Source organism: Homo sapiens, chromosome 20 (assembly GCF_000001405.40).
Source record: "Homo sapiens chromosome 20, GRCh38.p14 Primary Assembly".
NCBI classification, from domain to species: domain Eukaryota; kingdom Metazoa; phylum Chordata; class Mammalia; order Primates; family Hominidae; genus Homo; species Homo sapiens.
This window is the reverse complement of record NC_000020.11, coordinates 48,610,027-48,636,300: the sequence shown is the minus strand read 5'-3', so window position 1 is coordinate 48,636,300 and position 26,274 is coordinate 48,610,027. Positions and strand designations below refer to the sequence as shown.

Genomic DNA, 26,274 nt, shown 5'->3' with positions numbered 1-26,274 from the left:
AGGTCCAGCAGTGAACAAAACAGAGTCCCTGTACCCAGGGATCTTCTGTCCCAGTGGGAGGGAGGGAGGCACACACACACAGATAACAGAATCCATGCTACAGACCAGCGGCTCTCAGCCCAGGGCAGTTTCCCCACTAGGGGACACTTGGTAATGTCTGGAGATGTTTTTGGTTGTGACAACTGAGGGCCTGAGGTGGGAGTGGGGTGGTGGAAGCCAGGGATGCTGCTGGACATCCGGCCAGGACCTGAGAGTCACCAGTGCCTCTGAGGTTGGCTCCTGGAGCCCCTGCTGCTGGCTGGTGGGGAGGCCTGGCCTTGGAGCGCCCTCTGCTGGCTGCTGCTGCACAAGACGCCTGCCTGGCACAGATTGGCCATCACTTGATTCTCAGAATGCACAACCTGGGGCCCAGGGAGGAAGCAGGGAACACTCAGCCCTCCCCTTCCTCTTCTCACATGGGGATGCTGGGCCAAGTTCCTTCATTCTCCAAACACCACGATGTGCCAGGCCCTGAGCTGGGAGCTGGGGGCCTGAAGCTGACTTCCTAGTTGGGGGAAGCAGCTTGAGAAGAAGAAAGGACAGAGGAGGGAAGGAAGGTGGGGAGAAGGCAATCTCTACAGGAAGCTTGGCGGGCACTGCAGCTTCTCTGTCAGAGACAGCCTGTGTGAGGTGGTGACGCTTGAGCTGAGACCTCAGCCAGCCAGGCAGACAGTGTGAGGAAGAGTGTGCGGGGTAGAGGGACCAGCATGTACAAAGGCCCCGAAGAGTGGCTGGTGTGACCAGAGGGGAGCGGCAGGGGCTAGGGAGATGTGGGGACCAGTTCTGTAGGGCCTGAGACTTTAATCTGGAAGCAGTGGAGGGTTCAGAGGCTTGGAGCTGGGTGAGTGATATAATTTGGGTTAAGTTTTCAAAACATGACTTGTAGGATGTATTGTTTGGGGGCAGAGAGTGGCAGAAGGGAAACCTGGTGTCATCTTGACAAGAGATGGTGGACCCTTGAACCTGGGTGGTGGCCAGGAAGCTGGAGGGAGATGGGTGGGTCTGGAGGATGTTTTAGTGTCACCCCATCAGACTTGGTGATGGACCAGGCCCAGGGTGAGCGGGAGAGAAACTGAGAAGTCAAAGGTTTGGATCTTGGATGACCGAATGAACGCTGGTGCTATTTGCTGACATGGGACCGACTGGGGGAGGTTGAGGAAGGAATTGGGGACTTTTATTTGAGTGTGTTAGGCTCAAAAAGGTTAAGTTAGAAGCCTGGTTGGTGATCCAGGCAAGAGAGGCAGTGACTTTACTAGGATCACTCAGTGAATTAAGGCAGAGATGGGTTCTATGACCCTTGAAAGTGCAGGACAAGCCACAGAGCACACCATGATTTCACATCCACTCTGGAGAGTCACGCTCAGGACCTGGCACCCAGGGGGCCCACAGTGTGGAGTGCCGACTAGAGTTGAATTCAGCATCTTGATAGGAAACCCTGGGGCAGGGTTGGCATCTGAGACTCCTCCGCGCTGTCTTCTTCCTGCAGAAGGAGGAACGGACCATGCTGGAGGACATCTGGGTGACGCTGTCAGAGCTGGACAATGTCACCTTCTCCTTTAAGCAGCTGGACGAGAACTATGTGGCCAGTGAGTGATTTCTCCCATCCCCCACTGTGAGAGGTGGGGTCCTGGGGTGGAAGGGACAGCTCTCTGGGGTCACCCTGTCCTTCCCCTGCCTCTGGGCCAGCTGCCCAAGGTGGGCTCAGTACTCAGTGCTGTCAAACCTCATGCCTCCAACATGAGTGTGAGAGCCGAACTTTGGGGCACACATGGAAAAAGAGGGGTTTCTTTTTGTATGAACCCGGCTATTTCCAACAGCTCTTAAAAGAGAATGACACTGGTACCCAATTCTTAATAAAATTATTCCCTAGAGATGTGAAAACTTAAGATTTTTAAAGGGCTTAAATAAGTACCATAATTAAGTTCCATCCTCCCTTCCTCCCTTGCTCGTGTCCTCACCTCTCCTTCCTCCACGCTTTCTCCCCTTTCTCCCTTTTTCTTTCTGTCTTTCTCTCTGTGTCTATTTTCCACCCATCCTTCCACCTGCCCACCCATTTATTTATCCATCCATCCATCCATCCATCCATGCATCCATCCATCCATCCATCCATCCATCCACCCACCCATGTGTCCATGCATCCATCCATCCAGGCATCCATGCATCCATCCATCCATCCGTCCATCCATCCATCCATCCCACTCATCCATCCATCCATGCATCCATTCATCCATCGATCCATCCAAACATCTGTCCATCCATCCATCCATCCATCCAACCATCATCCATCCGTCCATCCATCCATCTATTTACATGTCCATAATTTTGAGCACATAGTATATGTCAGGCTGCGTTTTGGGCCATGTAACATGGTCCTCATTCCTACCCTCCTGGAGCTCATAGTCTAGACCAGTGCGTCTCAGCCCTGCTTGCACTCTGGAATCATTGAGGGAACTTTGCAACGATCCCAGGGCCCTGGGCCCTAGCGATTCTGATCGGTTTGTGGGGTGGGGTCTGGGTGCTGGGTAGTCTGGATGTGCAGCCAGGGCTGGGAACTTCTGGGCTTGCTTCTGAAAGCAGGGGTTCTCAGAGCGTGGCCCCTGGACCAGCAGCACCTGGGGGCTTGATAGAAAGGCATATTCTCCGGCCCAGCCAGAACTACGGCCTCAGAAACTCTGGAGGTGGAGTCCAGAGGCCTGTATGCTGAAAGCCCTCCAGGGGCTTCTGAGGCATGTGGGTTTAATTAGGAACCAGGCACTGGATTAGTGTTTCTCAGTTTTTTCATTTCATTAGATTTTATTTAATTTCATAAAAAACCTTTTTAGTCAATTTTTCCTAATTGCTGCACCCCCATGAAATTATACTACTACGGGTATACCCTGTGTCTGTTTATCTGTGCATCTGTGCTTATTATACATTAAAAGAGGAAAGTGTTTTCATTCTCCTTCCCACGAGCCAGTTTTCACCTCCTTGGGGACAGTGTCTCTCCTGCTGAAAATGCATGGACTAGAGTCTAGATGAAGGGCAGGTTCTCTTTGAGTAGCAATTGGAATTGATAGGCAGCAGCAGCTGCCTGTCTCCAGGCTGAGATTGGCTCGGGCAGAGCTTTGATCGATGAGTGATGTCTGCCATGGGTGCAGGATGGGGTCTGGGTGCCATATTTTGCACCCCCTGCCCTAAGCGCTTCCTTCTGGCTATGAATCAGATGTATACCCTGTTTGAGGGCAGCTTTTCCCAGGCAGGGGCCATGGGCTACCGGGTGAGGGTACAAGGAGCGCTGGGGAAGCTCTGACCCCAAATGCTGTGGACCCCCTAAGTAGGCAGAGTCCGCATCAGGTTCAAGAATTAAGCAGCGGAACTAGGAGCTGATGAAGCAGGCGAAAGGGAGGTGTCAGCTGCAGTTCTTCGGAGAGTGAGAGGGAAGGGCTGCTGGAGGCTGTCCCTAGAGGGCAGGAGGGCAGGGAGGTCTGAGGCTACCCCTGTAGAGTCGGGAGAACAGGGAGGTCCCAGGGTGCCCCCCTGGACCTGGGGGCAGGGAGGTGCCAGCTGTTCTGGAGAGGTGTGCCAGGGCTTCCCCTGGCCTTGGCCTCGGTGGTGAGTCATCCTGCCCCATATCCTTCCGCAGACACCAACGTCTTCTACCACATTGAGGGCAGCCGGCAGGCGCTGAAGGTCATCTTCTACCTCGACAGCTACCACTTCTCCAAGCTGCCCTCCCGCCTGGAGGGTGGGGCCAGCCTGAGGCTGCACACAGCGCTGTTCACGAAAGGTGAGCTTCAGGCCTGGGGCAGGGAGGACCACGGGGGCCGGGCCAAGGCCACCAAGCACACCGGCTCCCAACCGCCTGCCCGCCCCCGACATCTCCCCTCCCAGTGCTGGAGAACGTGGAGGGGCTGCCTTCTCCAGGCAGCCAGGCCGCGGAGGATTTGCAGCAGGACATCAACGCGCAGTCCCTGGAGAAAGTTCAGCAGTATTACCGCAAACTCAGGTATCCGCCTGGGGTCCCCGTTGGGGGCAGGAGTCAGGAAACCTCCACGTGGAGTGGGCATTAGCATGGAAGGTGCCAGGCGGACCCCCAGCATGGGCAGTGGGCCGCACACCCTTTCTTGAGCACCTTCTGTGTGACAGCACTCTTGCCTGCGTGAGATTCTCAATGGCAGCAGGCCATGGATCCCACTTTACAGAGGAGGCGACTGAGGCCCAGAAAGTGTACACACTTGCCCAAGGTCACACAGCCAGGCAGTGGCTGAGCTTTGAACTGGGGTCTGTTTGGTTTCAAAGTGGGTCTTTCCTACTGAGAGGAGCCGGCTTCATTCTACAGAGGGTGGGAGCTAGGACAGGGGACCTTGGGACTCTTGGGCCTGTGAGTGAGGGGTGCGGCTCCCAGGGTCTTGGCTGCTCAGAAGAGAACCCCAGGGGAGGAGGGGTGAGAGCAGGAGCCAGGTATCACCAGGAGGAACCACAGGTTCTGGGAGGCAGCTTCTAAGTTCTGCAGCTCCCACTCCTACCACCCTCCCCCACAGCCCTTCCTGCGTGTGTCTCACCACCTCCCTCTGTGACAGAGGCAGGCCGAGAATTAAGACCCCAGGGAGATGAGTACGGGTCTGGGCTTCATCATTTGGAAATGAGAGAATGAGGCTTCATTCGTTTGCTCAGAGAAAGCATCCAGCCCAGTTACTGAAAACTGGCATCTGTTTGGATTGATCAGGGCTGTCATCAGTCTGTTCTGCGCCATCTGTGGAATACTCTGAGTCCTGCCTGTGTGATGATTCATTCATCCCTTCATTCACACATGTTGAGGCCTTCTGCGGGCCGGGCACTGTTCCGGGTGCTTGTTTGGGAATGTGCAGTGAGCAAAACAAAGTCCTGTTCTTCATGGAGCATATATTCTAGAGCAGGGGTTGTCAAAATCTGGCCCTCCTTGTCTCCCTGTTTTGTAAATAAAGTTTTATTAGCACACCTGCATTCACTCATTTTCACATCCTCTGTGGCTGCTTTTGTGCTGCAATGGCAGAGCTGAGTGGCCGCGATCGAGACTTTCCAGTGCACAAAGCATAAAATGTTTACCGTTGGGCTCTTCACAGAAGAAGTTCGCTGACCCCTGTTCTGGAGGGGGAGACGAACAGTAAACCAGTAAGCCCAGAGCCATGAGATGCCAAGTGGTGAGAAGTGCTCAGAAGAGAGAAAAAGCAGGACCAGGGCCTGGGGAGCAGAGGGCTGGGGGCTGCTGTGGACGGGCAGGCAGGGAGGGGTGGCATTGGAGGAGTGCTCAGGAGGCCCCTCTTTCCCCCCCGGCTGTTGTAGGAACAGGTGCCTGCGGGTGAGCACAGCCTGCAGGCGCTCTCAGGGATTTCATTCTGAGAGTCGGCAGAGGGCGGAGTCACGGTGGCTGCAGGAGTTGAGACCTGGGTAGGGGCAGGAGGATGGTGGGTGTGGTGGCCCCCGCCTCATTCCCATCTTTCTCTCGCAGGGCATTTTACCTGGAGCGGTCTAACCTGCCCACGGATGCCAGCACCACGGCGGTAAAGATAGACCAGGTATGTCCACGTGCCCTCCTGCTGCAGGGAGCTTGGGCAGGGTGGGGCGCTCAGGAGTCAGGACTCAGCAGACAGGCCCAGGGTTGTGCCCCAGCAGATTCTAGCCCCAAAGCCCTTGAGACCCTGCAGTCTCTCCTCCTCCAGGAAGTCTCCCATGATAGCTTCCTCCCCATTCCCAACTTCCTGGGATGATTTATTTTCGCTGGCAGCCGCCCATCTCTGCCACTCCAATCCGCCTTATTAACCACAGCATTTCTCTGAGGCTGGAGCCTGGACCTCATGACAGATGTAACCTGTATGGTATTCTTTTTGTTTATGTGTTTCAAATTTGCTGTCAACCTTTAGAAATCAAAAGATTTCCCATAAAAACAGAGGCTTCCAGCTTTTCTGGAGGAATGGGAAGATCTGGCTGTTGGGGACCATGTTGCCACATGTCCCCGTTGCTCCGAGCTGGGAGCAGCTCCCTCTGAGGGGCCTCGATAGTTCGGCTCCTTGGGCTCCTTGCCTCTGACCCTCAACACATGTCTTTTGGCCTCCTGGTTTTCTAGGGTCAGGCAGGCCTTGAATGTGCTGATGATTTTGGGGTGCTGTCTTGGGGCTGTGAGCTGGGGGCTCCGGGAGGAGGGTGGGCACAGCCGTTTGGGACTTTCCACTCTGGCTGGCAGAATGTCCCCGCAGCACAGCTCGTTAGTGAACCACCCCTTGCACCTCCACGTGGGGGTCAGGGAATGCTGGGGGCAGAAGGGAAGGCTTTTTCTGGAGAGGGGGCGCTTGTGTTGGTCTTGACAGGCTGGGAGAGGGCACTTTCTTCAGGCTTCACTGGGGACACACCTGGGCAGGTGAAGAGAATTAGGTTGGAAGGTTAGACCTGAAATATATGGTCAACACTGACTGCCAGCTTGTAGGGCAGTGGGGAGCCACAGAGGGTTCTTGAGCAGAGGTTATAGAAGATTGAATTGCATTGTTATCCCCAGAGGGGTGAGCTGGGAGGCAGCTGCAGGAACAGCTGGATTAGAAGGATATGGTGGGGGAGGAGGGCCAGATGGGGGCTGAGGGGCTGTGAGGACCTCCTCCAACTCCCCGGTTATGTGTGGTACCCCCTACAGCTGATCCGCCCCATCAATGCCCTGGATGAGCTCTGCCGCCTCATGAAGTCCTTTGTCCACCCAAAGCCTGGTGCTGCTGGGAGTGTGGGCGCCGGCCTCATCCCCATCTCCTCGGAGCTCTGCTACCGCCTGGGGGCCTGCCAGATGGTCATGTGTGGCACAGGCATGCAGAGGTGAGCTGCTGCCCGCTGAGTCGGGGTGTGGGGAGGGGCTGGCCTAGCTTCTGGTCAGTTTGGGGTCCTGTGGCAAGGAGGCAGGAAGGCTGGGTTCCAATCCTGGTTCTGCCATTGCCTGTAGAGCCTTGGCTCTGTCTGCACCTCAGTTTGTCTGTCTGTGAAACGGAATGGCAGCAGCAGGTGGTCCTAGCAGGGCTGTGGAGCCACCTGCTTCTCTAACGCCGTAGTGAGTGTGTGTGAGAGCTGTGCCCTGTAGTTCCGCCGGAAGCCTCCTTCAACATTAACAATAGCAATGGCTGGTTTATGGGGCCTGCTGACCTCACTGGAGGCTCCCCTGCCTCCTACCTCCATCCTTTGTCCCCAGTGCTCATCCCAGGGAGGAAGAGGTCACCTTCTCCAGAGTGCTTCCTGACCTTCCGTTACAAACTGTGCCCACTCTCCCCACTCAGTGCCCTCCCAACCCTCTCTTCCTCTGCAGCCCTCACCCCCACTCCCCAGACAGCCTTCATTGGGGTATTTATTTCCTCCTTGGCTCCCTCAGGGCAGGGCTGGATCTGGGAGGGCAGGGGCCCCTTTTGTTCTCTGCTGTTCCCCAGAGGCTAGAGCAGTGCCTGGCCTGAGACAGGTGCTCAAGAAACATTTGCTGAATAAATGTTTCACGGGGCCAGTGCTCTCTGCCTCCTAGGTCATTGACGTTCCATGCAGATTAACTCCTTTCCGTCTTTCTCTACCAGTGCAGTAGTGGGGCCTATTTTAGGGGATCTCACCTAGGGGCAGTTTTATCCCCGGGGAACATTTGGCAATGTCTGGACACATTTTTGGTTGTCACAACTTAGGGGAGGGAGGAGCTCCTGGCCTTTAGTGGGTAGAGGCCGGGATGCTGCTCAGCTTCCTGTGGTTCCCAGGACAGCCCCTCCAGCTGGGCCAGGTCCTCTGTGCACCACCATGCTCCCTGTTTCATAGTTAATAGTATAGGGAGGCTGAGGTTAACTCAGCTACCCAGGGTCACAGAGGAGTTACATGGAGGGACAGGATTGGAATCCTAGAGGTCTTGCTGCAGAATCCACGTTCTAGAACTGTTGAGAAACCCAGAGAGGTGTGAATCGATGTGTCCATCTCAAACCCCACGGAGCCGACAAGTCGTGAGGCTCCCAGGGAGTCCCCCACTCACTCAGCAGATATTTACCGAGTCCTCCTCTGAGCGAGGCACTGGGAATGTCACAGGGAACTCAACAGGGCTTCTGCAGACGGGGAAGCACCAGAGTGCCTGCCAGTGAGGGTGGTGGCTGCCTGGAGGAAGAGGAGCAAGCGGGGAGGGACGGCAGGAGGAGGCGTTGCCGTGATGGTCAGGATTGGGTCTGGGAGGCCTCGGAGGGACAGGAAGTTGCCCCAGCTCTCACCCACTGTCCTCTGACTCCCGCTGTCCTCCCCCGACCCCTGTCCCCCCACCGCCAACCCGCTGTCCTCCCTCCCCTGCTGCAGGAGCACCCTGAGCGTGTCCCTGGAGCAGGCGGCCATCTTGGCACGGAGCCACGGGTTGCTGCCCAAGTGCATCATGCAGGCCACGGACATCATGCGGAAGCAGGTGAGGCCGCTTGGCCACAGGGTCCTCCAGCACCCTGGGCTGAGGGCGTGGCATGCTTGCAGCCAGGGTGGGATGAGGGGCTGGTAGCCACCAGCCCCAGACCTGAGCCTTCTCTGAATCTGGAGGGGAGCAAGGATCTTAGCTTCTGGGTCCTTGGGCTTCTGGGCCCCACCCCCACCCCCCAGTGTGCTTCCTCACGTGCCCTGAACCTGCAGAGGCCCCTGCCTGATGGTTCCTTCTTCCAGGGCCCAAGGGTGGAGATTCTGGCCAAAAACCTGCGAGTCAAGGACCAGATGCCCCAGGGTGCTCCGCGGTGAGTGGCTGCCTCGTCCGCCCCTTCCTGTCCACTCCCAGCTGGCGACCCAGGCCTGGCTTTGGCATCATGCTCCTGGCCTAACCCCTAATGCTCAGATGGGGCTTCCCCTCTCATTTATGGGGAACCTCTTTGAGGAGCAACAGACACAACTTTGTCACCTCCCAAAGGAGCTCCTGCTCCCACCGGGAAGATGAGCCCCCAGGTGTGCCGTGAGGCGGTGACTCTATGAGATCCTCCCACCTCACTACACTGTGCCCTCAGCCCCATGCCCTCTCAGCCCTGAGCCCCCGCCCCGTGCCCTCCACCCTGTGTCCCATGCCATGTGCCCCCCACCCCGTGCCCCCTACCCTGAGTCCCTGACCCCTGAGCGGCTCGCTTTAACCTGGGGTGGAATTAAGAATTCTGTGATTTTAGCTGATCCAACCTAAGCTAACCTTTTAGCCATTTACAGAAATGCGAACTGAACAGCAGCCTGGGCCCAGGCCTGCGATGCCTGATTTGCAGGAATGCTCTCTGTTCCTGCCGTCTTTGGCATGGGGAGTGCTGTTTCCTCCTGTCCTCCCACCCTGCCCTCTCTTCATGTGGTTTTCAGTCTTCCTCTTGGTGCCACATGTAGGCCCTTTAGGATCATGACGTTGTTTCCGTCTGATCCTCTCTCCATCTCCACAGCCCTAGTTTGCTGTCGTCATCTGCCCACAAGTTTTAAATAACTCTTGTTTTGAAATAATGTGACTCCCAAGAAGTTGTAAAAATAGTCCACAGTTCCATGGACCCTTCAGGCAGCTCCCCGCCAGCGGCAACGTCTTACGTAACCACAGAGCGCCGGCAACACCTGCTGCCAGTGGTGACGAGAGTCACTGTGCGTGCTGTGGCGCTGGGGGCTCCACACACACCTTGTTTGTGTCTCACGAGTGGCACGTGGTTCCTTTCAATACCTTCACGGCCTTTGCCCTGTGCCACGCACTGTCCAATTGCTTCCCCTCTGTGGACTCATTAATCCAAACAGCTGCCCTGTGAGCCAAGTCCGGCTGTCATCCCCACTTGGCAGGTGGGGACGCTAAGGCACAGAGAGGTTAAGTATCTTGTCCAATGTCACACAGCTAGTAAATGGAAAAGCTGGGATTCTGAACCCAGGCAGTCTGGGCGTGGAGTCCGAGCGCTGACCACATCAGACCACATGTGCAGCATTGCAGTCTGCTTGCCCTGGACACCACGCAGCCTCCTGTCTGGTCCCCCGGCTCCAAAACCATCTCTGCATATAGAGTTTCCCAGGATAGAGCAAGTGAAACTGCGTAAGGGGCAGAGTGCTGTGGCCATCTGGCCCCCACTAGTGTGGAATGTGCACCCCACCCCCACATGGCTGAACGCACACGTGCACCTGTAGACACGTCTTCATTTGTAAATGCCAGTCTCTGAGTGGGCAGAGACTGCCTGTGGGTAGGGGCCTGGCAGTCAGCAGAAGGCATGGACAGCATAGATATTTTTCTCTGCATCTTTTATATACCTGTGAGTTTGGGTTTCTGGGCATGAATTACATGTTCAGGTAAAAATGGAAATAATACAAATAGGTCCTGGCCCGCCCCGGCCTCTCCTCATTCTCTTTGCCTCCATCCCCAGCCTCTACCGCCTCTGCCAGCCGCCGGTGGATGGGGACCTCTGAACACCCAAATGCCCCACGCTGGGCCGCGGCCTCTGGAGCTGGGATTTGGGAGGACACAGCAGGCAGCGCTGGCCTTCTCCAGGGATGGCCCAAGGCTTCCGCAGCCGCCCGTTCCGGGACCTGCCCAGCGTCCTCCCTGCCTCCTTCCGGGACAAGCCTGGCCACCCTCGCTGTGATGACGAGCTGGCTGATTGGCCCTGGGCCGGCCCATTCTTCACACGCCTGCCAGAAGCTGGAGGGGTGCTGGAGACCCATAGAGCTGATGGGAGCAGCTGGTGCCTGGCCTTCGGCTCCTGCGTCCCCAGAACCCAAGGGAACGTCATGGAGGCCACATGGGGCCACCCGGCTCCCTCGGGATGGCTCCGCCTGCACTTTTGAAACCCCGGTTTCCTTCAACGTCCACATTCCAGGTGACCACACGTGTCTCCTCCTCCTCATCTTAGCTTCCAGGTTCACCCTAACCCTGTACTAACCTGCTTGGTGGACTTGGAAAAGACTTGGCTCTGTCGGGAAAGGAGAGACGGGGCCTCCATCACGCCTGTTACCAGAGGATCCCCGAGAGCCACACCAGCTCTGGACATCACCGCCCCTGGAACTGGGGCCACCAGCCCTGGGCACGAGATTTGCTCTGACTTTATTTATATGGCATGAAATCTCTGGTTTATTTTGGGATTTTTTGTTGTTGGTGTTGTCAAAGTTTGTTTTTTCTAAAGTTGTGTGATTATATATTTGACATTTTACATTTCAAAGAAAGGTATGTTGTCTAACAGGGGACCAACAGAAGGTAGTATTGACAACTGTTCCTGCTTCTACTAAAAAAAAAAGAGCACAAAAGAAAAACTAAATTATTGAAAAATTAAAAAATGTCATTGTTTCCTGTTTGTTAATATTAGGGTTGTAAGGTGTCGTTTTGAGGTATCGACTGTGATTCCTTCCCCCACCCTCCATTCTCCAGCGGTTGGCCGGTGTTAGAACTCGCTCTCTTTGAGTGACTGGCTACAAGGGCCTGAGAGGTGGCCAGCCAGGGTTGGAGCTGGAGGGGATGGAGCCCCACCTGAGGTGCCGTGTCACACGGGTTAGAGGGTCACTGGGAAACACCGGGCGGTGGCTTCTGTGATTTATTTTCTTGATGGTAACTTCTCAGAGCAGGGCGATTGGGACATCACCAGCCAGAGCACAGGAAGCCACCCTGCCTGCTGGGGAGGAGGGACCCACACAAGCCCCCTCGGCAGTTTGTCCCCCCAGCTTCGGTATGCCTTCAGGGAAAGGTCACAGCTGGGGAGGAAGCGGGGGGACGCCTGTCACCCCTGGCAGGTGGTGAGTTCAGGTGGGGGCTCCCTGCTGCCCCCAGGCCTGGGAGCTTGAAGCCCTCCCGGCATCTGGCATCCGAGCCTCCCGCCCTCCAGGGTGCGCTTCCCTCTCTTGCCGCAGCATACACGAGGGCAGGCAGTGGCCTTGTCACTGTATCTTGCATCAGAGACAAAGGAGGACCCGCTTTAGCCCTGCTGCGGGAAATGGGGGAGGGCCCAGGGCCAGCGCATTGTGCACTGGTTTACTTTAAAATGTACAGATTCTTCTCGTTAAATTCTTGATAGATTTTTTATTATTATTAAAAGTCAGTTTATAATACAAAGAACGAGGCTGTGATCTGCTTCATCTGCGGTGGGTGGCTTGGGGGGTGGGTGCGGCCGGGGGCACTAGGGGATGAGCTCGCGCTTTAAAAGCCTCATGGAGGACAGTGCTGATCTCTGCATCGGGGCCTTGAACCAGCGACCCCGAAGTCAGTGATGTTTTCACTCTGTGCCTCAGTTTCCTCCTTGATAATGGGGCGATGCAGCTTCTCTCGCGGGGTGATTGCTGAGGACGACCCGAGGTTGCACGGATTGCCTGCAACCCAGGTATACAGGAAAATAACAGGCCTTATTTGATATTTCAGCTTTTTTCCCCCCTGGATTCTGAGCTCCCATTTCACTGTGAAGGTAGGAAAAAGTGACTGTTTTCCCAGGAATTCCACACCTCCTCCTGGGTGGCTTACTTGTGCTGAGGGGACAGTGTGGATCCAAGGGGTGCCATAGAATCCTCCTCGCTCCAACCTGCAAGGCCTGTTGGATCCAGGCGGGAGTGGAGTTCAAAATACCCACAACATGGTCGTGCCGGACCCCCAGTCAGCCAGAACTTACGCTGGCCACAAACAGGCCTATTGGGCAGACGTGAAATGCACCAATGAGAATAGAGAGTCTGCGTGCACACCTGGGCCTGGTGGCTGCATCCTAGGCTGTCAGCAGGTTCTCCACCTGCCTGGGCCCAGGTGATCTTTATGAAGCTGCCTGGGTTTGTTTGCATAGTCAGAGAAACCTCATTCCCTGGGCTGCAGACCTGTTCTGCTGTGCCAGCCCTGTGCCCCCTCGTCCTTTTTTTTTTTTTTTGAGACAGGGTCTTTTGCTCTTATCACCCAGGGTAGAGTGCAGTGGCGCGATCATGACTCACTTAAGCTTCGACCTCCTGGGCTCAATTTATCCTCCCACCTCAGCATCCCAAGTAACTGCAACTACAGGCACGTGCCACCACGCCTGGCTAATTTGTTAAATTTTTTGTGGAGACCAGGTTTCAGTATGCTGCCTACCAAGTAGCCTGGACTACAGGCACACACCACCATGCCTGGCTAATTTTTAAAAATTTTTATAGAGACCGGGTTTCGGTATGTTGCGTATGGCCTCTTCTTTATTCCATCTTTTCCCGATTTCCAATCCTTTGGAAAATGCTGAAATCGATGACAGTTTCCTCTGGGTCATGGCCACCCTTGGGACTCCCCTGTACCATGGTGCTGCACCCAGCCCTGCCATTTCACACTCGAGCCCCTTCTCTTTCAGTCTCTTTTCCTTCCAAACTAACCTGTTGCAGATTACATTCTCTGAAGGCCCAGATTGGATCCCTCCCAGAGAGAGATCCTCGCGTCTCTCAGTTACAGGTTTCAAAGGACTCAATACTCTAACAGGCAAGAGGGAATCCTGGTGGGGTTTCAGGCACAGTCATGGATTGATTATTTAGAATTATCTGAGGCCAGTGTTTGGATCCAGGGAAAATCACTTCGAGGGAAGACCTGTTACCTCAATCTATATTTGAGGTCAACAGGGAGGATTGGACGTCTTCCTTCAGGCAGACACGTTTCTAGAAAGCATCGATTTCAGCCTCTCCTCCACCCTGGGGGCCCGCAGAAGGAACATACATTCTCCTGGGGCCGTAGGCAGGAGCAGCTTGGGTTTCCAGCCGGCTCTCTGTGGCCTTGAGCAAGTTGCATACTTTACAGGCTCAGAGCTGTGCTTGCAGAGTTGGGAGGGAGAGCCGGGCCCACCTCCCTCTCCGAGATGTGTTTCTCCAAGTATAAAACTAAGCACGAAGGGCCTCTCAGAGCAAGCGGACATTTTTGCAGGAGACAAGAGGTCTCAAACTGATGGCTCCAGGCTGAAACTTGGAACTAAATGTGGGTTTTTTTTTTTACTTCCTTCCTGATATGGTGTTTTAAAAAAATGAATTATATTTATGAACCAGCAAATTTCATCTCTGAATTCTGATTTTTAGTTTGTCTCGAAAATCAGAAGCTCTGAGCTGGGTGTGGTGGTGCGCACCTGTGGTCCCAGCTACTTGGAGGCAAAGGTGGGAGGATTGCTTGAGACCAGGAGTTCAAGGCTGTCGTGCGCTTTGATCACACCTGTGAATAGCCAACTGCACTCCAGCCTGGGCAACGTAGTGTGGTCCTGCCTCTTAAAAAAAAGATTAAAGAAAAAATCAGAAGCTCTGGTCACACTGGTCCACATTCCCACCTGGCTACATGTCAGCTGGAGCTGAGGAGCGGCTGTCTTCTTGAGGAGGGTGCCAGCTCTCCAGCTCCCCGGAGCCACGTGGTCCGAGCACTCATCCGGCCTGCTCACGCTGACGGCCAGATCCTTAGCTCTGGACTTGCCATGGCGATGTCAGCTCGGGGAGGACCTGGTGACCCGGAGTCACTGTGCCGTCCAATGGAGAATCAAGGGGCAGGCGCAGCCCCGCATTGACGTCTCTCGGAGCCTCTCCTTCTCTGCTCCTCCAGGATGAGGGCAGGGCCCAGGTGGTTGAATTCCTCTGAGCCTCAGTTTTTTCATCTGTCAAAAGGTGCTGACCCAGAGATGGCCCCTTGGCGTGGACTGCAACAGAGGCCACCCAGGAAGTGGAAGGTACGATGGGGTGTGTTGACCGCTTTATGATTTTATCTAAATAACTGTTGGTGTACTTCCTGTCCACCTTCCCCCCAGCAGTAAGAGCAGGAACCACACCCCTTCCATACTGTAGCCCAGGGCCAGACAGTGGTGAATCACGGCTAAATATTAATAGAAGAAAGCAGGGTTAGCACAGTGATCAGAGCGGGGGGCGCAAGCCACACCCATCTGTGGCCAAGCGGGCCCCTCTAACCTCTGTGTCTGCCACGTGGGTTCATTCATGGGGGGCTGGACTAGGACCTTTGAAGTCAGACACCCTCGCCTGCTCCTGAATCTGTCAACACCTGATACTTGCTGAGTGGCCATATCTGAGATTCTCTGTCTTTCTGGGACCCTCAGCTTCCTTCTTTGAGAAATGGAGACTTTACGCCCACCTGGCTGCCTTGCGGGGGTACCAGGAGTCTCCTCCAGGGCCCCAAAGTGGAACTTCCCGGGATAAGTGTAGTGCCCTGTCTGTCCAGCAGGTGGTGCTGGGGACCGCGTAGTGCCCAGAGGCTGCTGTTCCCCGGGCTCCAGCACTCAGACCGAAGGCTGGCTCCTGGGTGCAGGTATTTGGGACAGAGCCAGCCTGGAGGCGGGGCCTGGAATCGTCTGGACAATGGGCACTGGCGCTATCCCTCTCCTGGGCTGGGCTTGCCGTGAATATTTTCTCTTTTTTTCTCTCTTTTTAAAAACTTTTTAAAATTTGTCTCTTTCTTACTTTCGTCCCCCTCATTTTCTTTCTCTCTCTCTAAGCTTTTCTATATTTGTCTTTGTCCCATAACATATGTCTGTGAGCTTGACTCGATTTTTCAATTCTTTCCTTTCGGGGATCTTTCCCTTCTCTCTTTTCTCTTTTTTCCCTTCCTCTCTTCTGATTGGAGGAGAAGGATATGAAAGGCCCTTATGCACTGTAAAGCGGGGTGCTTACGAAGCTTGTGACCAGAAACCCACAGTCACTGGTGCACCTTTGTGGAAGTGACGGCCACTAGATGGCGCTGTGGGCCAGGGCGCCCCGCCTAGCCTTGCGGGCCTCCTGCCCAGAGCTCCTGGGAGGCTCCCACTGCAAGCCTGGAGCTCGGGGTTTGCAGGCAGGGGAGGCCGAAAGCCAAGCCTGAAGCTGCCTCCCTCCGGGCACTGGTAGCGTTCCCTGGAGGGCTGGAGTGGGGCAGGGGTGGTTAGGAGAGGGATGCTAAGGAAATGCCTCCGCTGCCAGCGCCTTCACCAGCTGCACCTCCCATTATTGCAGCCAAAGTTTGCTCACAAGGACAGTGGCTGGATTTGAGCCCAGGCCGTGTGGCTCCAGACCCTGAGCCCGGGGCTCTGTCTGGGGTGTGGCCCAGGGGCAGGTCCTTGGGTGCGTGAGGGTGGCTTGGCTCAGCTCCTCTCCCTGGGTCACTGCAGCGGCCCTGTGCTGTTCTGTTTTCCCATCCCGAAGTCCTGAGGGTCTCAGCAGAGGGGCCCAGGATTCAAGTCCATCCACTCCCAGGGCGGGTCCCTAGCCAGCCTCTGCCCAGCATGTGGGGTGGGTGCTTCCCTGTCCTCCTGCTTCCTGCAATGTTTCCCTTCCAGCACTTTCCAGGCTCCAGTTCCCCATGCTGGGCTGCCCGAGCACCCCCACCCTGCAGCTGGCCCTGCTGCCCTGGCTTCCACCTCCAGATCCTTCTTGCCATGTCCGCTCCAATCAGAGCCAACCCACCCTGTGCCCCTCCCAGTGGCTCTGCTGCCTGCTGGACACATGTCACCGCCACGGGGCTGATGGGTAACGGGAGATGCTCTCAGGTCCTGATTTGTGCTTCGCCAGAGCCCTCCTAGAGCTGTAGGTGATGATGGGCACTTTCCAGACACTGGCAGGGCTGAGATGAGCTGCTCCAGGGACAGGAGGTTCAGAGATGAAGAGCTGGAGGAGGGCCAGCCCTGCAGGGCACACAGACTTGCATTGCTGGCTTTTGGCCCAAACAGCTCTTTGAAAAACAGCACAGGAATGGCCCCGGTGGGTGGTATCTGTTTTCATGGTGCGTGGCTGACACTGGAAGACGATGGACCCGTGGCTGCTGGGTATCAGGGGAGGGGAGGGGGCCTGGGTGTGGGATGCAGGGCTGCCCTCCTTCCCTCACATCCCCTGCTGTCAGGAAGAGGGCAGGGGGTCCTGGGGCACTGAGGCTGGGGAGACATGAGGGCTGTCACATCTGTGTCCTATCCAAGCCAGATCCATGTCCTGTTTGCAGAGTCTTGGCCATAAAGAGGGACTGGGAACACTCTGCCTCACCCTCACCCTCGCACCCTCCTCTGATCCATCTGGGTCTGTCTGGATGGCAGAGGCTCAGAAGGTCTGACCCTACCCGATGGTGGAGGCTCAGAATGTCTGAGCCAGAAAGGACGTCGACGAAAGTCTAGAGCCAGGTGCCCTGACTCACGCCTGTCATCCCAGCACTTTGGGAGGCTGAGGCTGGAGGATTGCTTGAGCGCAGGAGTTTGAGACCAGCCTGGGTAACATAGTGAGACCCTGTCTCTATTAAAAATAAAGAAAAAAAATTAGCTTGGGGTGGTGGTGCAAGCCTGTGGTCCCAGGCTGAGGTGGGAGGATCACCCGAGCCTAGGGAGGTCGAGGCTGCAGTGAGCCATGATCAAACCACTGCTCCGCTCCAGCCTGGGTGATGGAGTGAGAGACTGACTCCAAAAAGAAAAGGAAAGACTCGCCTTCCTCCTCCTGATTAACAGGTGAGGCAGATCCCCGTGCCCCATAGGGACTGCAGGGACACTGATGCTTGGTGCTGATTGAACCCCTACTGTGTGTCGCAGGCTGTGCACATCACCTCACTGAATCCTCACGAGAGCCCTAGGGGGGCACCATGGTTGTCGCTGTCCTCCCACTGTGGAGCTGAAGGAGCTGAAGGGGGAAGGCGCTCCCCGAGGGGCACGCAGTCAAGGAGCCTCTGAGCCGGGATTTGTCCTGTCCCAGGTCCTGGGTCCCCACCCGCAGCCCCACTCGCTGCTGGCAGAAGCAGGTCACCAAGGAAAGACCCAGGGGGCTTCCCTCTTGGGGCTTCCAGTGTATTAAAAGTGAAGGAATGCCAAGAAAGGGCTATAGAAACCACGGGCTGGCTGAAATGTTGAAGGAACAAACGAACTCTTTATCGTGGTGCTGTTCAGGAAATAAGAACTACATTGACTTTGTAAAAGTACGTTCATCCCAGGTGCATCTGGGCGTGAGGACGGGAAGGAGGGGGCTGTAAAGATGGGGATTAGGGCTCGTGGGTCAGTGCCTGAGCTTTGTGGCCGGACTCCCTGGGTCCGGATTCCTGGGTTTGGATTCCTGGGCAAGTCACTTGACTCGTCTGTGTCTCGGTTTCCCCATCTGCAGCATGGGCTCCCAACCGCATGTTCCCGGTGTCGGGGTTGGAGGGGCAGGCAAAGCCTTTGATCAGCGCCAGGCTGTGGGTGACTGCCCCAAGGGGGCTACTGGGTCCTCACAGTCCTCGTTTCTCTGAGACTCTAGACGCAGCCTCATTTGAAGGTGACTCCCACATTTAGGAATCCAGGCCTTCTGGGAAAGTGAGGCCCAGGGCCCATGTTAGACTCAGGCCCTGGGGACCAATTGCATCCATTCAGTTTGCAGAGAGGTGTGTTCGCCTGCGTCTCCACCTCCGTGCTCCAGGGAGATCCGCCATGGAGGCTGCTCCCAGAGTAACTGGGGATTTCATATGAAGAGCTAATTAGGCAGAATCAGTAGGGTTTACTCGAAAGAGGAGACCATTCCAGACAAAGCTGGGAGATGAGAGGATGAAGCCTGTGGCTGAGTGTGGGGTGGGGAAGGGTTCTGCCAATTCCACAGAACCTCTGCCCACGGGCATCCCCTCCCCTCCAGCTGCCAGAACTGCGGGATTAAAGTCTATGCTGGGTTCTGACCCTGAATGGGTGCTCTGAGGGCTGGATGTGGCAGAGGGCGCAGAGCCTACAGCTGCTGGGCCACTGCTCCCTGCACACCTGCCCTAGCCCTCAGTGTCACCACCGATGCCCCACAGTGGCTTCAGCCTGATCCCAGAATGAGGAGCCGCCAGATGGGCCTCGGCTCAGATTCCAGCTCTGCCACTTGCTGGCTGTGTGTTCTTGGACGTGACCACTCTGAGCCTCAGTTTTCTCACCTGTCAAAGGGGAGTAAATGAAAGTACCTCCCTCCCAGGGTTATCGTGGGACTTGGAGCAATCAGCTGGTTCAAGTGCTTAGCAAATGCCTCCAGCATTGTAAATGCACAGTGAGTGCCAACTGTTATTATTATTTCCTCCCCTCTTACCTGGAGAGTAAACACACACACAGTCATCATATAGATTATGCATCGTATGGCCGGGTGTGATGGCTCACACCTGTAATCCCAGCACCTTGGGAGGCTGAGGCAGGTGGATCACTTGAGGTGAGGCATTCGAGACTAGCCTGGCCAATGTGGTGAAACCCCATCTCTACTAAAAATATAAAAATTAGCCAGCAGTGGTGTCACACACCTGTAATCCCAGCTACTTGGGTGGCTGAGGCATGAGAATTGCTTAAACCCGGGAGGCGGAGGTTGCAATGAGCCGAGATTGCACTGCTGCACTCCAGCCTGGCAAGACTCCGTCTAAAAAAAAAACAAAACCCACAAACTGGGCACAGAATCCAGGACCCAGGATCTGCCCTGAGAGCAGAGGTGTTCACAGAGCCTGGGTGGAGGAATGCTCCTTAGTCCTGTTGCTTTTGAGTGAACTCTTGAGTGTCTATCCTGCACATCCAGGAAGTGGCATCGGGGCACAGAACATTCCAGGGCACACAGTCCGGTCTGGCCCTGGGTCACCGGGTCCTCTGCCTGATCTGACAGTGCCCTCCTGAGTTTCCAGTCCTCCATAGAGTAAGGATTCAGGGTTTCTCTCTGGCCTCTTTCGATCCTGCTGCCCGCTCTGCATGCTGTCACTCTTCCCTCATGCCAGGCTCCCCGGGCACAATGGGCCATACTCACAGGCCCGTGCTGCAGTGGGAGCAGGGCCTGTCCCATTGTGGGCCTTCCCAGTCCTGATGCCTACACCCACAAGACAGTCCTGTGCAGTGCAGCTTGTACCTTGTATCCTGGACCCCAGCCCATGGACAGCATGCCCTCCAAGTTCCATCCATGGCTCACACCTTGTCCATGACCTCCTAATCCAAGCTGGTGGACTGAGACAGCCTCCTATGGGGCCTCCTCGATCTGTGCTTGCTTCCATGATCCATTCTTCCAGCCACCAGAGCGAGCATTATAAAGTGCAAGAGAGATGATGCCACTCTGTCATCTACAATCTTCAATGACTTCCCATTGCTCTTGAAATAAAATCCAAGATCCTATGTGATCTGGTCCCTACCTTCACTGCACACCTCCCTCCCCTGCTCACTTGGCATCAAGCACATGCCCACCTCAGGGCCTTTGCACTTGCTGGGCCTAAAATGCTCTCCCTCCAGATCTTGTCATGGCTGGCTTCCTCATCCTCTGGGTCTTAGCTCACATTTCTCCTCCACCAGGGGACCCTCACTGACCGCCCTGACTAAGGGAGTCCCTGTGGAGTCACATTTGATTCCATCAGGCTGTACAAGTTCCTCCTTGGGGTTTATCGAATCTGCGATTATCTTGCTTATGGTTTTGACTGTGCCATCCCACTAGAAGGCCAGCTCCATGAGGGCAGGAGCCATGGAGAGTAGGAGGCTGTGGCTCCAGGACATAGCCCAGTGTCCAGCACATAGGATGTGCCTCCTAAATATTCATTGAGTGAATGAGTAAATGAAAGCTCACCCTGGCACGATGAATGAACTCAGCTCAAAACTCACCCGTCTCATGTCTTATTTCTTTCAAAGCCTGCCATATCTGAGAACTAATGAAGAATTTATTTGTGCTAATGAATATGTATTAGTTCTTTTAAGATGAGATATGCATATTTTAGTAGGAAATGCCGAGAGTCACAGTTCTTCAATCCAGGGACGCCACCCCAAGAATGAGAATGTGAAATGGTGATGAGGGTGGGGTAGATATTTAGAGCATGGAGTCCCAAAGAGGCATCAGATCACAGAATAGCAAAGGCTTCCTGGGTGCAGTGGGGGAGAGGAGGAGCACTGCCCTGGGGCAACACAGGGCCTGGCGCTGGGCAAATCACTTCCCCTCCTCCCTGGTCTCAGTGCTCCTGTCTGTACATGGGGATCATAATCCATAACTCACAGGGAGTGAGGTTCCAATGATAAGATGGTTAGTCTGGCGCTTTGCACATTTCAAAGGTTTTGCTTATCAAGTAGAAGGGATTATGGTAATAAGCAAAAAGACTCTACCTGTCACAGGTGGGATGCTTTTGGCTTCAAGCAGCAGAGAAATCCACAATAAGTATCCTATTGTTCTTACATCATAGGGACAATATCTTATGTCTCCATGAATCAAGAAATCCAGTGGACTTCCTAGCACTTCTGGTTTGGCTGGTACAGAGGTGGGGATCACCAGGGACCCTGATTCTTTTCAACTTCCCACTGTGCTCTCCACATTGGCCTGACCCTCAGGCTTGCACTCTGAAGCTCGTAGGATTGCGCCACAGCTCCAGGCGTCCCACCCTTGTGCAAGAGGTGAAAGCAAAAGAAAGAACGCGTCTCTTCCTAGTGCCTCTTTATAAGAGACTGGAACCCTTTCCCAGAAGCCCCCAGCAGATTGGATTGCCTGTAACTTTGGCCAAAATTGCATCCCAAGCGCATTGTTAGGCCTGGTGCTGGCAGAGGAAGTGGAATTATCATGGTTTGGCCAGTGCTTTTTCACCAGAGAGGTACAGCCTCTGAGGTTGTATGGAAATGTGGGGGTGGCTTGGCTCAATGACTGGTAATATTGCTGGCATTCAGCTGGGTGGGGCTGGGAATGCTGGATGCCTCCAAGGCGCAGGACAGTCCACATAAGACAGACCGTCCTGTTTCCCACACGAATTTCACTTCTCCTCTGGTCGCTCTTGTGTGAAGAGCCATTTAATCATCTTAGCCTAGAACCGACATCAATTTAATATCAAAACAAGATATTTTTGTAAGATTTTACCGTACACCGAATATAATATTTATATTCAAGTGTCTTTATTTTTCTGCCCTTCTGTTGTAGCGCAACTCCTGATCTTCTCTTCCATCCAAACTTCTTCTGTAGAAGTTGGCTAGGATCTAACTATTGGTTATATCTCTGTGTGTGCCTGTGTCTGTGTCTGTTCATTTGCCTATTGAAATATGATTTAATTTATTACAAGTTATTATTTCATTAAAAATTATTGTCCTTTTATTTCTTTTTATAGTCCACTTAGGGCATTGTAATGAGTTTTTAAGTAGGTGTATGATGTTATAGGTTAATTATTTATGACTTTCATTTCAGGGCAGTAAAGAGACATTAAGCACAATTCTTCTTTGGAAGAGGTCATGGGTCTGACAAAGTTGAGAACTCTGGCTTGGATCCATCAAGATTCATGTCCGGGGGCTGGGGCAGAGCCTGTGTTCTGAAACTCGTGGCTCCCAAGTGCTTGGACCACACAGGGGTTGAGTCAGGTTGGAAGGCGAGGAGGGACTCTCAGGTTGGCACCAGTGATGTTGACTGTATTACCCGTGCTAAGGCCTCAACCAATCATCTATGCTGTCACTGATTATAGAGGGTGCCTGGGAAGGAGCTGCTTCCCTGGAGAGGATGAGGGTACCAAGAGGGCCATTGAGGCAAGGCTGGATTTGCATTCAGCCCTGAGATCTGACAGCGGGAACCCACCACACTCATGGTCGGCTAGCTGTTGGTCACTAGAATGGTATCAGTTTATGAGCGGAAGAGGATTTTCACCAGGAAAGTAAGATCAGTTTATCTCTTTGAGTGCAACCCAGAGAAGGAAGGTGAAGTGTGACCAGTGCCCAGCTGATACAGGTAGCTCTGGAAAAGCCCTCTGGAGGCAAAATCCCCACATCCATTCACTCAGCCGACATCTACTGAGCACCTAATAGGTACAAGGGATCATGTTTCCAGATGTGGAGACTTGGGGGGATCAGCCCCCAGCCTGGTCTGTAGGGGCTTCCCACTGAGCCAGAGTAGGAGCTTCTTAGGAGGTAGACAGGTGTTCTGTTTAAATGAGGTTTAACTGGGGGGAAAGACTGAATTTTGGAAGTTACTTTATTATAAATTAAAAAATAGAATTTCAAATGCTTGGCCCTTATCCTTATCGAGACCATCCTGGCTAACATGGTGAAACCCTGACTCTACTAAAAATACAAAAAAATTAGCCGAGCGTGGTGGCGGATGCCTGTCGTCCCAGCTACTCGGGAGGCTGAGGCAGGAGAATGGCAGAGCTTGCAGTGAGTCGAGATCGCACCACTGCCCTCCAGCCTGGGCGACAGAGTGAGACTCCGTCTCAAAGAAAAAAAAATGTTGTTTATTCATTCATTTAAAAAGTATCTATTATAAACCTACTAAGTATCTGCCTTCATAGTGGGCATTGAAAACCACATTTTTTTTTAATGGAAAAGGAACCAAGTAGAAGCAGCCTCCCTCCCGTGTCTCCTTACAAGGTCATTAGAAGGCTGCCTTGAAAGAAGCTACCTAGACTCCACCTTTGCTGCTACTAATCTAGGGTCAGATATCAGCCTATTGCAGGGGGACCAGCACAAAGTCCCCCTAAGAGGAAATAGCATATACACCAAAACATTGGAAAGATCTTGCTAATTTACATTAGCAGAAACCTGCAGAATATGTGTATGAATAGATGATAAGAGTGTTAGACTAAAGAGGTCAGCATATAACACTGCCTCATGGTAAAGGTATTGATATGGGTGCACTTACTAGGAATTCTGAATTTCACAGTAAGTTCGTTAAGGCTGGAAGTGGCTCCGATTACTTGGTTGATAACTACACTTGGTCCCAGTGGCAGCCCTCATTTAATAAGAGTGGGATAGGAGAATGCTCATTGCACAATGTAAGGGAAAATATCCAAAGGGTTCGGGAGATAGGAATGTTGGAGTGGCTTTACCATGAATGACATGCACCATCACTCCCCCAGCACATTACATGCCCTCAGAGGGGCTGACAGACACTCTGTTCACTTAGGCATCGAGAAATATGCTAAGGAGGGAGCACCTGCATCCTTAAAAATCTCCGTGGTGGCTGCTCTGAATGGGCCAGGCAGGGCGGTGGAGATGCCGGGGGAGATGCCAGGTGGGAGATATCAGTGAGGATGAGGACATGTGACAGCATTTATCCCCTGAAGACAAGATGGGCATATTTGCCGTGTTTTCCAGAAGAAAAGAAGTGGTAATTACAATGTTTTGACTTTCAGGGAATCTTTAGCAATGGCTTATTCATTATGATGTCCTCAGACATGAAGTAGATGGGCAATGTATCAAAACATTATTTGATCTACCTACGTAATAGAAAAACTCCAGATCTGATGGCCACAAACTATCACTATGGAGTCATAGCCTCTTGCCTGATTTCTTTACAGAAGTCAAATAATAAGTGGAATTTTGACCCAACTTCAAATCACAGTGGACCCCATAGACCTGCAGACACACTCTATAGCTGTTTTCCAAGTTTCCTGGCAATGGGAAAGACTCATAGAGTAAAATCTGTTATAGTAGTAAGGCCCAAGTGGAATCCCCGGATAATTTCCCTCCTAGCCAGGATAGCATTTTTAGGTGCCTTGCAGAGATGAGTGCCATCCTCAAAGACTTGAAAGATGCAGAGGTGGTAAATACAATGATCTCCCATTTAATTTTCCTCTTTGGCCATGTAGAGGCAGATGGTTCTTGGAGAATGGCTGTGGATTACTATAAACCTAATCAGGTGGTGAAGTGAATTGCAGCCCCTATTCTTGACATGCTATCTTTGCTTAAGCAAATCAACAAACTCTCTGACACCTCAAATGCAGCTATTGACCTGGCAGATACTTTATTTTTTCTAGATCAATTTTTAAGGACTATAAGAAGCAGTTTGCTTTTACCTATGAGAGCCAACAGTACACATTCACAGCCTTGCCTCAAGGCTATGCTACCTCTTCTGCTTTTGGCCACAGTATAGTCTTTGGAGATTCTTGATGATCTTTTCATTGTACAAAACTTGCACTGGTCCACTACATTAATGACACTTTGCTCTTTGGACCTGAAGAACAAAAAGTAGCAAGTACATTAAATGACTTATTCAGTAAGACAGATGTGAACCATAATTGTGATTCTGATTTCTGAGTAAGGGTCCAGTCAGGGGACTTTTATTGTTGTTATCACAATCCACACCTCACGGGGAGTGAGGTTCCAATGATAAGATGGTTAATCTGGTGCTTTGTAAATTTCATACTATGGTTTCTGAACCATACTAGTTATTTTAACAAAAATTGTGTGTGTGTGTGTGTGTGTGTGTAAACGTTAAATAGGTATTGAAGAATTGAAATGCAAACAGAGAACACTAAGGCAGGGGTGAGCTGTTTTTGTAAATAAAGTTTTATTGGAACACAGCCATGCCCATTTGTCTATATATTGTTTATGACTACGAGACCAGAGACGCATAGTTGCAACAAAGATCATAGGGCTTACAAGACTAAAATATTTACTATGTGACCCTTTTAAAAAAAACCAACCCCTGCACTGAGGTATCACAGAGGTAGCAACTGGGACCTTGCAGAGTGAGAAGATGGGGCTGAAAATTATCTAGCACTGGCTGATTAACAACGCTGGTGTGTTTGAGGGTACTACAGTGACATTGACAGGGAAACAAACGAAGAAGAAGAAGAAGAAGAAGAAGAAGAAGAAGAAGAGGAAGAGGAAGAGGAAGAGGAAGAGGAAGAGGAAGAAGAAGAAGAAGAAGAAGAAGAAGAACAGAAAGTATACACAAAAGAGCAAGTCCTCTCTTTCTTCTCCAGCCTCTAAGTCTTCCTCTAGTGCCCCCATTGGCAAAGCCCAACAGGAAGTCACTAGCAAAGTCAAAAGGTCATTTGCAGGGTCAGTCACTGCCCAATATCACCAAGCAGCTTGGAGGAGAGTGGGTTTTTGGCTGAGAGACAGTAGCTTAAGAACTCAAAGGAACAAGACATACCTTTCCTACTCAACTCCAGGCAAAGGAGTTTAGAGAAGGAAGACAGGATGCATATCAAAGAGAGATGTCTTGCTGATGACTGATTCCATGGTAGGAGAGAGTTTCTGCATCTATAAAATGGTAACGTAAAGAATAACAGTAATGGTAATAATAATACATCTGTTAATGAATGCATTTATTTGGCTGCATTCAGTCCTGACACCCAGCATCAAAACCCAGCATGCCCATGGCTGGTGGCTGCTGGTTATCAAATTGGCATGGATTTATGGCTCTAACTGGCTCCACGAAAGAAAGAAAGAAAGAAAGAGAGAGAGAGAAAAAGACAGAAAGGAAGGGAGGGAGGGAGAGAAAGAGAAAAAGAGAATGATGGTGGAATGTTTACTGCGTATGTCTTGAAATGTTGTAGTTATTATTTTTGATTGGTTCATCTTTTAATCTTTCTACTTAAGAGTGTTTACACATCACAGTTATAGTGTTATAATATTCTGTGTTTTTCAGTGTACTTACTATTGCCAGTGAATTTTGTACCTTCAGATGATGTCTTATTGCTCATTATCATTATTTTCTTTT

General features: G+C 52.8%; 1 protein-coding gene across 6 annotated transcripts in view, besides 6 other annotated features; it reads left to right on the top strand.

Moving 5' to 3' along the window:
- Window positions 1-12,049, top strand: part of PREX1 (phosphatidylinositol-3,4,5-trisphosphate dependent Rac exchange factor 1) — a 263,934-nt gene extending 251,885 nt beyond the window's left edge. For all 6 annotated transcript variants that reach the window (XM_047440333.1, NM_020820.4, XM_047440332.1 and 3 more), the window contains 8 exons: window positions 1,526-1,625; window positions 3,662-3,805; window positions 3,910-4,024; window positions 5,507-5,573; window positions 6,680-6,852; window positions 8,338-8,440; window positions 8,686-8,753; window positions 10,374-12,049. In XM_047440333.1, the coding sequence (XP_047296289.1) occupies window positions 1,526-1,625; window positions 3,662-3,805; window positions 3,910-4,024; window positions 5,507-5,573; window positions 6,680-6,852; window positions 8,338-8,440; window positions 8,686-8,753; window positions 10,374-10,416 (813 nt within the window). In that variant the 3' untranslated portion in view covers window positions 10,417-12,049. The remainder of the gene's footprint in view (window positions 1-1,525; window positions 1,626-3,661; window positions 3,806-3,909; window positions 4,025-5,506; window positions 5,574-6,679; window positions 6,853-8,337; window positions 8,441-8,685; window positions 8,754-10,373) is intronic.
- Window positions 124-263: an enhancer, noted in NCBI's record as "active region_18024". NCBI's record gives its function as "activates an Ori minimal core promoter by ATAC-STARR-seq in GM12878 lymphoblastoid cells {active_cell/tissue: GM12878}" and the evidence as "EXISTENCE:reporter gene assay evidence [ECO:0000049][PMID:35858748]".
- Window positions 15,258-15,317: an enhancer, noted in NCBI's record as "active region_18023". NCBI's record gives its function as "activates an Ori minimal core promoter by ATAC-STARR-seq in GM12878 lymphoblastoid cells {active_cell/tissue: GM12878}" and the evidence as "EXISTENCE:reporter gene assay evidence [ECO:0000049][PMID:35858748]".
- Window positions 15,618-15,747: a silencer, noted in NCBI's record as "silent region_12983". NCBI's record gives its function as "represses an Ori minimal core promoter by ATAC-STARR-seq in GM12878 lymphoblastoid cells {active_cell/tissue: GM12878}" and the evidence as "EXISTENCE:reporter gene assay evidence [ECO:0000049][PMID:35858748]".
- Window positions 16,140-16,848: an enhancer, noted in NCBI's record as "H3K4me1 hESC enhancer chr20:47235991-47236699 (GRCh37/hg19 assembly coordinates)". NCBI's record gives its function as "activates a minimal SCP1, AML or CMV promoter by ChIP-STARR-seq in primed H9 embryonic stem cells {active_cell/tissue: H9 hESC(primed)}" and the evidence as "EXISTENCE:reporter gene assay evidence [ECO:0000049][PMID:30033119]".
- Window positions 16,884-17,384: an enhancer, noted in NCBI's record as "H3K4me1 hESC enhancer chr20:47235455-47235955 (GRCh37/hg19 assembly coordinates)". NCBI's record gives its function as "activates a minimal SCP1, AML or CMV promoter by ChIP-STARR-seq in primed H9 embryonic stem cells {active_cell/tissue: H9 hESC(primed)}" and the evidence as "EXISTENCE:reporter gene assay evidence [ECO:0000049][PMID:30033119]".
- Window positions 18,938-19,107: an enhancer, noted in NCBI's record as "experimental_60582 CRE fragment used in MPRA reporter constructs". NCBI's record gives its function as "activates a minimal promoter by MPRAs in K562 erythroleukemia cells, with activity observed for both the introgressed and non-introgressed 20:47233817 variant alleles {active_cell/tissue: K562}" and the evidence as "EXISTENCE:reporter gene assay evidence [ECO:0000049][PMID:34662402]".